The sequence below is a fragment of the Homo sapiens genome, chromosome 10 (assembly GCF_000001405.40).
Source record: "Homo sapiens chromosome 10, GRCh38.p14 Primary Assembly".
Classification (NCBI taxonomy): Eukaryota; Metazoa; Chordata; class Mammalia; order Primates; family Hominidae; genus Homo; species Homo sapiens.
In genome coordinates this window covers 31,772,323-31,784,770 of record NC_000010.11, presented here as the reverse complement: position 1 = coordinate 31,784,770, position 12,448 = coordinate 31,772,323, and the positions used below count along the sequence as shown (strand labels likewise).

At 44.7% G+C, this 12,448-nt stretch overlaps 1 annotated feature.

Moving 5' to 3' along the window:
* Positions 9,725-10,722: an enhancer, noted in NCBI's record as "H3K4me1 hESC enhancer chr10:32062977-32063974 (GRCh37/hg19 assembly coordinates)". NCBI's record gives its function as "activates a minimal SCP1, AML or CMV promoter by ChIP-STARR-seq in primed H9 embryonic stem cells {active_cell/tissue: H9 hESC(primed)}" and the evidence as "EXISTENCE:reporter gene assay evidence [ECO:0000049][PMID:30033119]".

Sequence of the window (12,448 nt, the reverse complement as noted above, 5' to 3'; positions counted from 1 at the left end):
TGATCTCAGCTCACTGCAGCCTCTGTCTCCCTGGCTCACACGATCCTCCTGCCTCAGCCTCCTGAATAGCTGGGACTACAGGAGTGTGCCACCATGCTCAGCTAATTTTTGTATTTTTTGTAGAGGCAGGGCTTGGCCATGTTGTCCAGACAGGTGTCGAACTCCTAAGCTCAAGCCATCCTCCTGCCTCGGCCTCCCAAAGTGCTGGGATTACAGGTGTGAGCCACCACACCTGGCCAGAAGTCACTTTTTGAGTCACAAACTGAACTAGCTACTTTTTCATGGAGGATCATTTTTTATTTGAAAGAATTACGGACAATCTCTGGTTACTCAGACTCCGATAACTGGCAGATGCTTTCTCAAAAACAAATGAAGTGATCCTGTCACCTTAAGGGAAAGGACCAGGAGTATTTGTTAATGGCAAAATTCAGGCTTTCAAGAGAAAACTAGAATTTTAAAAACTTGTATTCACCACAATGAGCTGACAGCTTCTCAGTATTCAAGGCTGGTTGGGATGAGATTACTGGAAATATTAACAAATCTGATTTTTAAAATGTTGTATAATGAGATATGTCAACCTTTGGAAGGTCAACACAATGTGGTGAACCAGTTCGTATTAAAGGAGAGCAATGCGCGCGTGATAGTATACATGATGGATAAAAAAGCCATTCAAATTGCAAGATAGAATGGTGGGTTATAATTTAATAAAGCATGAAAAGTTCATTGATATGGTTTCAGATTCCACTTGTCACATTTTATTGTTATGAAAAATATCTATAATTATCTAAAAAGGTTATTAAAATACTCCTCCCTTTTCCAGTTACATATATGTGTGAAGCTGGATTTTCCCCCGTATTCTTCAATCAAAGCAACAGCTTGAATGTGGAAACAGCTACGAGAATCTTGCTGTCTTCTATTAATGCAGATATTAAAGAAATTTACAAAGTGTATAAAGTAATATCTATATTTTGTTTTAAAAAACTAGTTTTCATAAAATATTTATATTAATGTGAAATAGGCTTATTTTCAATTAATACATTAAAAATATGTAAAAAACTTTAAAAATAGTTTTTCCATTTTAATTTCAAATATGGTAAATAGCAATAGATAAAATCTGCATAAACACAACTTTTGAAACCCTTCATAATTTTTAAGAGGGCAAAGTGTTCCTGAGACCAAAAAGTTTGAGTACTATTGGTCCATGATGTAAGTTGTTGATTTTTTTGCCAGTTTGTCATTTTTCTCTCGATTTTTTCTTTTTGTCATATAGTCATTTTTTATTTTTATATAGTTGAATTTATTATTCTTTTCTTTAAAAAAAGTGTCTGGATCTTGACCTGTGGTTAGATCTTCCCTCACTCCATGGATAAAAAGGAATTTACCTGTGTTTTCTTATGATTCCATGTTTCACTTTCTATGTTTCTAAATATATAAAATATCTGTCCTACCCAGTTATCCCAACTTAAAAGTCATCTTTGCCCCACCGGCTTGTGATGACACCTTTATCACATATTGAATTTCCATATGTTGGTTCATCTTAGTACTTCCTGTTTATACTATTGGTCTATAATTCATATGCTCATGTTATACCATTTATTGAGACTTCATGGAATATTTTGCTAGCTTGTAGAACTTGTCTTTCTCCCTCCCCCATTACTTATCCTTTCAATAACTTTCTTGACTTATTTGTTCATTTTTTCATGTGAATTTTGGATCACCTACAGATCAGTTTCTCCTACAGGTTTTAGTTCTCATCCAGGGTCATTGGTGCCTTAGCCCAGGCTTTGCTGCTGGCAATACAACCAATAGATAAGGCTTGTTACTTATGCTCAGGGCTACGGGAAGCTGTGGCATATACAGGGACATGCCCTGTTGGCTCCTGCCCAAGTGCTATGAGAAGCAGGATAGTGAACATTCTGCTTGTGTTTGATTTGTTTATATTCGGCAGCAGAGGGTCAACTGAGTGGAATACAGCATTGATTATTATCTGAATTCAATGCAACTAAATGTAAAAATTCCACAAGCCTGAATTCACAGCAATGGAACACTTATCAATTTCAACTTTTATTTTAGATTCAGGGTGTACACGTGCAGTTTTGTTACCTGCGTATATTGTGTAATGCTCAGGTTTGGGGTATGGATGATCCCATCACTCAGGTAGTGAGCATGGTACCTGATAGTTTTACCACCTTTTCGCTCCTCCTTCTTCCCGCCCTCCTCTTCTAGTCACCAGGGAAGCTACTTCTTGACATGGTTCCATGTTCTCTGACTTGACTGATGGTCTGACCATCAGACAGCTGCTCTCAGATCTGAGAGATACTTTGTCTCTGAGATGCCCCGGGGATGAATATGATATATAAATGCATAGTTATACTTTTTGAGAACTTGGAATAGTTAGGCGTTAGGTTCAGCTAAATTGTTTCCCTGACTCTGAGTGTGATGAGAAATGAAATATTGTTTAGTGAGTGTTATTGACAATAGCATAGAATGAAAAGGTAGAAAAATTCAGCAAGTGCTTTGTTTTCTGTGGACTGTATCCCTCACTACAGCTTTATTATTATTGATACTTCTATTATTATTACTGATTTTTCTCTGTGGTGGAATGAGCTAGGATTAAACTTATAAGGCCTTAGAAACTGCATTTTAGCCACTGCTGGCATTGATGTTGTTTTAATTATTATCTTTTTGCTTCTAAGGAACACCATCTTAAAACCGAAGCAACTGGACTCAGTGGTTCACACCTGTAATCCCAGCACTTTGGGAAACAGATGCGTGAGGATCGCTTGAGCCAAGGAGTTCAAGGCCATCCTGGGTGACACAGCATGACCCTGTCTCTATAAAAAACAAAAAATAAGCTAGGCGTGGTGTCACACACCTGGAGTCCCAGCTATTAGGGAGCCCAGGAGTTCGAGGCTGCAGTGAGCAGAGATTGCACCACTACACTCCAGCCTGGGCAACAGATCAAGATGCTGTCTCAAAAACAAAACAAAACAAACAAACAAACAGACTAAGAAACCTTCACTCCCCATCACCCAAAACCATGAAGCTGATTTCTTTGGTAGCTGGTTACAGGGGAGACAGTGGTAAAAGTAGAAACATTTAAATCACATTTGAAGAATAAGAAATCTAACATTTTTTTTTCAGGGTTGTATTGCCCTATTCTTCTAGAACAGATCATTGCGAAGAAATTTTCCCCATATGAAATAAATATTTGCATTTGAGACCTATCTCAAACAACTTGCCTGTGTTCAAAAACTCCATTTCTGAAAAGTTCAACAGGCAATGGGATCTATTAACACTCTTGTCCCAGTCACCTTTGGATGAACATATACCTGGGTTTCGGGCATCAGCTTATGTGTAACACTGACTGACACATCCCATATTGACATGAGATTTTTAGTGACTTTGTCCTACATTGTTTTGGGTTGGAATCACCAATACAGAACTGTCAACTCAGTTTAAAATGACTACATTTTGCATGACATTCTCAAGGGAAGGAGAAAAACATCTTTCATTTAGTGAAGATAGAAGTTGTTTGTCCAGAGAATGCCCTGTTTCCCTTCAATTCACCTGAATGCCGTGATAAATCTGCCGAGAGTTCTGATTGTCACACCAATCATCAATAAAAGACACACGGTCTCTTTCTCCAAGTTGCCGAGTCTGCTTTAAACTTTAATAGTACTATTTTTATTAGCTCCACTGCTTAAAGCTTTTCTCTAAGAGAATAGATATATTTTATTGAGAATAATTGTGCTGCCAGGTAATGGAAAATAAACATTAAACACTGATAGTATCATCCTCTTGACTCGTCTAATTTTCCTGGTTCATAATGCATTGTGGCTAGACTGATGAAATCAAACTGCAGTGGTAAATTACCTGTCAGATTGATTTGTCTGCTCTGTTCATTATCTTTGGTGAAAGTATGCTGAGATGGTTGTGTGTGTGTCTATGTGTGTGTGAATTTTGATTTCCTTGAACTTCAGATAGGAGTTAAAAGTGCTTCTTGGCAAAAAGTAAACTTAGTATGTGCATGTTCAAAATAAAATAGCTACCCACTCATAACCTAGTCAGATGTTCAAAAAATAATCTTCATGCTCCTTCTGTTTTGATTTTTCTTGCTTATGATGATGAATCTTAGGGTTATAGAAACAGTAGTGAAAACCCTTGTAATTGTCACTCTTCTCTACCATCCAAAGGAATGTTGAGGGCATGCCTGCACAACACATCACTAGGCTAGGCACTGAACACAGAGGGCTTTCCTGCTCCATGGGTGATTGAAATTGAAAACTGCTTTGCTCTGAACATATGAAGACCTTCCAAGAGCAAAATGGTAATTGTAAACTGAGTCCATAGTAGACTGAAATAGTTCTATTCAAAACTAGAAGTGTAGTCAAAGTGTAGCTCTATACAAAAACTTCGGAAACAATACATTTGGATCTGGAGGCAGTGAAAAAACTTTAAAGTTAAAAGAGTGTTATTTATTTATTTATCCTTTATTATAAAAATAGAGACAGAGCCTTGCTGTGTTGCCCAGGCTGGTCTCAAACTCCTGGGCTCAAGTGCTCCTTCTGCCTTGACCTCCCAAAGTGCTGGGATCACAGACGTAAGCCACTGTGCCTGTGCCTGGCCAAAAGATCATTATTTATTTATTTATTATTTTTTATTGAGACAAGGTCTCTCTCTGTCACCCAGGTTGGAGTGCAGTGGTGCCATCATAGCTTGTTGCAACCTTGACCTCCTGGGCCCAAGCAATCCTCCCACCTCAGCCCCCTGAGTAGCTAGGACTACAGGTGCATGCCCCCATGCCTAGCTAATTTTTAATTTTTTTTTGTAGAGATGAGGTCTCACTATGTTGCCCAGGCTGGTCTTGAACTCCTGGCTTCAAGTGATCCTCCTGCCTTGGTCTCCCAAAGTGCTGGGATTCCAGGCGAGAGCCATGATGCCTGGCCCCAAATTTCTTCATTGGAGTCAAAGCAAGTTTCCTGAGCTTTTAGGGCTTCAGTTTCTTCCTGTGTAGAATGCAGACAAAAACATCTTCTTCACAGTTTTTAAAATAAGGATTAAATGAGATAACGCATTTGAAGCACTTTGCAAAGTGCCTGGCTTATAGTAAGTATGCAATAAGGGTTTGCCATATGGCACAATTTGATATCAATTCAGCTACCAACCTATCATAAAATTCCTTACATTTTTAATATATTGGGTTTCAGTTGTTTTTTTTTAAGACAGTCTTGCTCTGTCACCTAGGCTGGAGTACAGTGGTGTGATTTCAGCTCACTACAACCTTTCCCTTCCAGATTCAAGCGATTCTTGTGCCTCAGCCTCCCAAGTAGTAACTGGGATTACAGGCATGCACCACCATGCCCGGCTAATTTTTGCATTTTTAGTAGAGAAGGGGTTTGGCTATGTTGGCCAGGCTGGTCTCAAACTCCTGGCCTCAAGAGTTCTGCCTGCCTCGGCCTCCCAAAGTGCTGAGATTACAGGCATGAGCCACTGCACCCAGCCAGGTTTCAGTTGGTTCTTATAAGAACCTTGCTAGGTACTTGGGGTAGGTCTCACCATTCCTTTACACAAGAGGGATAACTAAAATGCAGAAAGCTCAGTGCCTGGCAAGGGGCACAAAGTAAGTGGCAAAGTTAGGAGACCCCATGTCTCCTGAGCCTTTGCAATTCATCCATTCAAAAATGATTTTGAGTACTTTCTATGCATTCTGCACTGGAATTTATGATGAATATTACCAAGTACATTTCTTGCTTTTAGAGAATTTATAGTCTCCTGAGTGAGGAACAGAGATGTTAATCAAATAATCCTACTTATAAATGTATAATTCAGAACTGATTTAAGCACTCTAAAAGCAAGGAACATAGGCTTATAGAGGTCTGTTGACAAAAGGACCTGGTTTAGACTTGAGTCAGAGGAAGCTTCTCTGGGAAAATTCTCCTGGAGCTGAGGTCAGGAGGGTGAGGAGGAGTTAGCTGGGCACAGAGAGAAAGTGGAGCCCATGGGAGAGGCCCAGGACAGGAGACCTGGTGGCCTCCAGGAACTGGGAGGAAACAGGGAGGATGGAGGAGAGAGCAGAGTGCGGGGTGGGGTGGGGGTGACGGTGGAGGGGGTAATGACAGTGACGGTGGTGGCAGCTGCTAATTTTTATTGACCTTGTTCTTGCCAAATGGGTTGGGCCCATCTGGGGTCGCCCTATACCAAATTCTTAGCTTGGGTTTCCCAGTGAATCTAGGTTGCCAATTCATTCTAGGGCCAGGGTCTAGGCATGAGGCGTTCCCTTTCCTTTTCTCCCTGCCTTTCTTGCTGTGGAGAGGACCTGTGCCTCCTGGGTGTGAGTGCATGCATGAGGAGTGTGGGTTTACTATGAGCCATCCTAACCCTGAGAATGCAGGCCTCAAGGTGGGGAGGGTTTTTTGATCAGTTCTCTGTATCTTGACTGGGCCCCAGTTCTGTTCCATTGTTGAAGAGGCTGGTAAAGCCTAAGGCCCAAGCTTGCCCACCATACCCTCAGTGTGCAGGGAAAAAGCAGCCCTGATGCTTCGAGGTTCTGCTACTTCTCTGGGTTCCTACGTCCCCTTAGGTTCTAGCCTAGTAGTTACTTTCCAGTCAGCTTATTGATGCTTTTAAAGAGTTTATTTCTATTTTATCCCGTATTTTCTTTTCAGAGGGCAGCTCAGTCTGGAAATCTGGCATGCTACCACAGAAATCAGAAGTCCAGGCTGGGCACGGTGGCTCACCCCTGTAATCCCAGCACTTTGGGAGGCCAAGGCGGGTGGATTACCTGAGGTCAAGAGTTCAAGACCAGCCTGACCAACATGGCAAAACTCCGTCTCTACTAAAAATTAAAAAAAAAAAAATAGCAGGGCATGGTGGCACACGCCTGTAATTCCAGCTACTCGGGAAGCAATTCTCCTGCCTCAGCTGGAATTACAGGCGTGCGCCACCACGCCCTGCTGAGGCAGAGAATTGATTGAACCTGGGAGGTGGAGGTCACAGTGAGCCAAGATTCCGTCACTGCACTCCATCCAGGCTGGGTGACAGTGTGATTCTGTCTCAAAAAAAAAAAAAAAAAAAAAGAGAGAGAGAGAGAGAGAGAGATAAATAAATAAATAAATAAATTAATTAATTAATCAGAAGTCCACCAGACTGCATTGCTTGCTTTTCTCTCAGCCTGTGGAATCCTTATTAACCTAGCAGTGAGGAAATAGACAGAAATATATGTATCTTCCCCCACTGAGGAGTTAAGTAACTGAAGAATTGTTCTATTGCAATAAAATATACATAACGTAGAATTTACTATTTTAGCCATTTTTAAGTGGACGTTAAGTGTACAGTGGCATTAGGTGCATTTGCAATGCTGTGCAGCCATCAGAACATCTACAGAACCTTTTCCAATCACCTAAACAGAAACTCTACCCAGTCCAGGCCTGGTGGCTCATGCCTGTAATCCCAGCACTTTGGGAGGCTAAGGAGGGCAGATCACTTGAGCTCAGAAGTTCAAGACCAGCCTGGGCAACATAATGAGACTCCTTCTCTATGAAAAATACAAGATTATCTGGGCATGGTGGTGCACGCCTGTAGTCCCAGCTATTCAGGAGGCTGAGGTGGGAGGATTGCTCGAGCTGGGGGGGCAGAGGTTGCAGTGAGCAGAGAGAGCCTCCCGAGTTCAAGTGATTCTCCTGACTCAGCCTCCTGAGTAGCTGGGATTATAGGTGCCCGCCACCATGCCTGGCTAATTTTTGTATTTTTTTTAGTAGAGACGGGTTTCACCATGTTGGCCAGGCTGGTCTTGAACTCCTGACCTCAGGCGATCCACCCCCCTCAGCCTCCCAAAGTGTTGGGATTAGAGGCATGAGCCACTGCGCCCAGCCTGATGGCTGTTTTATACTCTGCTCTTATGGAGGTTGTGGCCATGAAATGTGGCTTCTGAGAATCAGTGTCTCCTTCAATGGACTTGGTACAGAACAGTGCAGACTGAGTGCTTGGAGCTCAGCTAAGTCCTGATTCTGGCTCTGTGGAGGCCTCTGCTGAGGAGCTGCCCTGGGGTCCAAGGGTGAGGGCAGAGGATGGAGCATGGCACACCAGGACCGAGGTGAACCCATGGTAGGCTCTATTTGTTGGCAGGGCTGGACTCTCTGGGCTGAGTGCTTTCCCACACTCCTGTGGGCTTCAGGAGCTTGTGCAGTCTTTCCAGAGGCAACTTTGGAAACAACTGAACACTCTCCTCTTTATTCCCTTTAGTTTTTTTTTTTCTTTCACTTAAAAAAATTGTGGCTGCTGATAAAGACATACCCGAGACTGGGCAATTTACAAAGGAAAGAGGTTTAATGGACTTACAATTCCACGTGTCTGGGGAAGCCTCACAAACATGGTGGAAGCAAGTCATGTCTTACATGGATAGCAGCAGGAAAAAGAGAGCTTGTGCAGGGAAACTCCTCCTTATAAAGCCATCAAATCTCATGAGACATATTCACTATCACAAGAACAGCAAGGGAAATGCCCGCCCCCATGACTCAATTATCTCCCACTGGGTCCCTCCTACAACGTATGGGAATTCAAGATGAGATTTGGGTGGGGACACAGCCAAACCGTATCACCAGGCATGGTATGCCATGCCTGTAATCACAGCATTTTGGGAGTCTGAGGTGGGAGAATCACCTGAGTCTAGGAGTTTAAGAGCAGCCTGGGCAACATAGTGAGACCCCATCTCTACAAAAAATATTAAAGAAAGTATCTGGGTGTGGTGGCACACGCCTGTAGTTCCAGCTACTCAGGAGGTTGAGGTGAGCATACTGCTTTAGCTCAGGAGTTTGAGGCTACAGTGAGCTATGGATGCACCACTGCACTCCAGTCTGGGAAACAGAGTGAGACTCTGCCTCAAAAATAATTAATAAATAATAAAATAAATAAATAAAATTATAGTAAAATATACATAATCTCAAATTGACCATTTTTAAAGTGTACAGTTCACTGGCATTACTACCTTCACATTGCTGTGCAACTTTTCCATGAATTTTGAGAAGGTCTTTACGGCCAAAAGAGAAATGGCCTTTCTAAATACTAAAACGATTTTTACCTAAAGGAAGCAGACTTGCTCCACTTGGATGAGTTTCGTGAGTTTGCACCTCATTACAACCTGAACCTAAGGGTTCAGGGCAGATAAACAGGGCGAAGCATTCTCTGTGCTGTTGAAGAGAGGGTGTGAGCCACAAATTCGGAGCCCATCTCCCGCTGTGGAGTCGGATGCTCCTTCCTCTCCCCTGTTCTCCTCCCCTTGTTTCCATAGTGTTGGAAGTCAGTACTACGGGAGACTGTTCGCCTCCTCACTGAGGCAGCTCTGTGAATAATAGTGATTAATTCCTGCTTTTGTCTGCACTAGGTGATAGGGGTGGCAGCAGGGAGGCCAAAGAAAAAACTAAGAGCTGCAGCTGAAGGCTTGATTTTTTTTTTCACCAATCCCTGTTTTCAGCTATGAACCTGTTAGGTTCTATTTTTGTGTCATCGTTTCAGAGAGCAGCATTTCAGAAACTTGGCAGCCACCAAGCAGACACCTGACCTGGTCACCTTGTGGCACTGGGCACTGGGCTGGCCACCCAGTGACTTGGGTTCTGATTTCAGCTTCGTCATTAGGCATGACACACCAGTGGCTTCTCTGAAACTCGGTCTCCTCACTGGCGATGTCTCACTCAACGCCTGCAGAGCTCTCTCCTTGCTCCAGAGTGGGGACTGGGGGGCGTCTTCCTTCTATCATTCAGGGAGGGATTCAGGGAGGAATCTCACCTTGACACTGAACAGTTGTGGAATCAGAGCTGGAAGGACTGGAGGGGGCTTGCCCTGCACCCCTATTTTACAGTCGAGTCTAACGCCCTCCAGGGAGCTACCGCACCCATCTCCCTCCAGGCTGCAGGGACGGTGGGGGCTGATCTGCTCTGTGGCTGGGGCTGCCTGCTCCAGGCTGGGCAGCACTGGGCTCAAGTCAGGCAGCCCTAAGGGTTCAGAGCTTCTGGATTTTTCCAGGGGCTCTGGAGGAAGAGATGAGGGATTCCTGAGATTCCTGCCCCACCGCTGATGCTCAGAGCTTTGCTGTCAGTGTTGTCTTGCAGGATAACCACACACCCCTTTCTTCCTCCTTTTTCTTCCTTTATACCCAGACTGTGGGCCTGCTCGGGCCCTCAGGCTTGGAGAAGCCTTCCCAAAGATGTGGGCCTGTTGTTGATTTACAGGGGCCTGGCTCCTCTGTGCGCGCCTGGCTGCATAACTTAACGGGATCTGTCACCTTCAATAGGCCGCTGCGCAGCTGCGTGCAGGAGCAGCTGCCTTCACTGCCTTTGTTTGGTCTCAGTTCTCATCTTATCCAGCACAGCCAAGGGGCCCTCTTGCCTCCCGGCACTGTGATTAGTGCTGACTGTCCTCTGCCCACCAAGTGCTTTGGGTGGCCCACGAATATACAGGGTCTCACACACAGTTTATGATAGTGATGGCGACCAAAGGCTGTTCATAAACAGTGAGTCGTGGGTGGCGGCATTAGCTCTTAAAAATCATAATCAGCTCTCCAGGTGGCCTCTTAAATGTGCTTGGGGCTTTTCTTCTCATCCATAAAATAGGCTACCTTAGCCAGAGGCCCCAGAGCTGGCAGGAGGACAGAGCACATGTTTGGCCTTTGTGGCCTCAAACGAATGCGCGATCCCCAGCTCAGACTGATGAGAATCTGTGCTTCTTTAAAACATACATGCACGTGCACGCACACACACACTCATTCACACATGCATGCACACTCACACACTCACATATGCACTCACGTGAGTATACACACACTCACACGTGCACACTCAAACATGCATACTCACAGGCATCTGAGGCCCCACAACCACCGTGGGCTGAGCCTGGGGATTGAGGAAGCAGGTGCAGCGGGCACAACTGGGCGTTCAGAAATGTTTCTCCCCAGGCCCCTGGCTCCCCATTTCCCTCCGTCATGGCTCCCCCTCTACTTCCAAATCTCAATGCCATCGACCTCATCTCCTACCAAATCTTGGAGAAGATCGGATCTCATTTGCTCAGACGTGGTCTGGGGACATTTGGGTTTGAGGCCCTCCCTGGGCTGTGGGATGCAATACAAAAAGTAGGTGGGTGGGGCCCCCAGGTGCTTCCCTGAGCCTCTGCTGTCACCAGCTCCAGGTCAACATGAATTGCTGAGTACCGCCAGACATGTCTTGGCGGGCGCAAGGGGTGGGCCTTGGGACAAGAGTCCACGACATGGCCCTGCAATGGCCTGCTGACCGGCCAAAGCTTTAGCAGTGCAGCCTAGGGGGAGGCACACAGGATTGGCAGCCAGACACACCTGTGTTCGCTGGGCCTCTGCTTTCCGACTTCCTGGCTGTGAGACCTCAGGCAAGTTGCTTATTTAACCTCACTGAGACTCAGTTTCCTCACCTGTGAAAATGAAGAGGAAAGAATGTACCCCATAGGGGCTGTTGATAGGATTAAAAGAGAGAATGTGTGCAATTGTCTTATCTGAGAATCAAGACATGGCAGCTGAAATAAAGAATGTTGTAATTTTCTTATCTCCTTGGCTCAATATTTTTTTTTTGTTTAAAATTAGAGAAAAGGGCTCTCTTTGTCACCCAGGTGGGAGAGCAGTGGTGCAATTAGAGCTCACTGAGGTCTCAAACTCCTGGGCTCAGGTGATCCTCCCACCTCAGCCTCTTGAGTAGCTGGGACTATAGGCGTGTGCCACCATGCCTGGCTAATTTTTTTAAAAAATTACTTTTTGTAGAGTTGAGGCCTAACTCTGTTGCCCAGACTGGTCTCGAACTCCTGGCCTCAAATCCTCTTGCCGTCACCCAAAGTGTTGGGATTATAGCTGGGGGTCACTGCACCTGGCCTGGCCCAAGACTTTGATCTGAGAAAAAGAAGACACTCAGGGGCCACATAGGCTGAAAGAACCCATGGCCGGGCAAGGTGTCTCATGCCTATAATCCCAGCACCTTGGGAGGCTGAGGCAGGTGGATCACCTGAGGTCAGCAGTTTGAGATCAGCCTGGCCAACAAGGCAAAACCACGTCTCTACTAAAAATACAAAAATTAGCCATGTGGTGGCTCACGCCTATAATCCCAGCACTTTGGGAGGCTGAGGCAGGTGGATCACCTGAGGTCAGGAGTCCGAGACCATCCTGGCCAACATGGAGAAACCCCATCTCTACTAAAAATACAAAAATTAGCTGAGTGTGGTGGCCCATGCCTGTAACCCCAGTTACTTGGGAGGCTGAGGCAGGAGAATTGACTGAACGTGGGAGGTGGAGGTTGCAGTGAACCAAGGTCGTGCTACTGCACTCCAGTCTGGGTAACAGAGCAAGACTCTGTCTCAAAAAACAAACAAACAAACAACAACAACAACAAAAACCAAAAACAAACTCAGTGCTGGTCTTAGCAGTAGGGCCAGTAAAAAC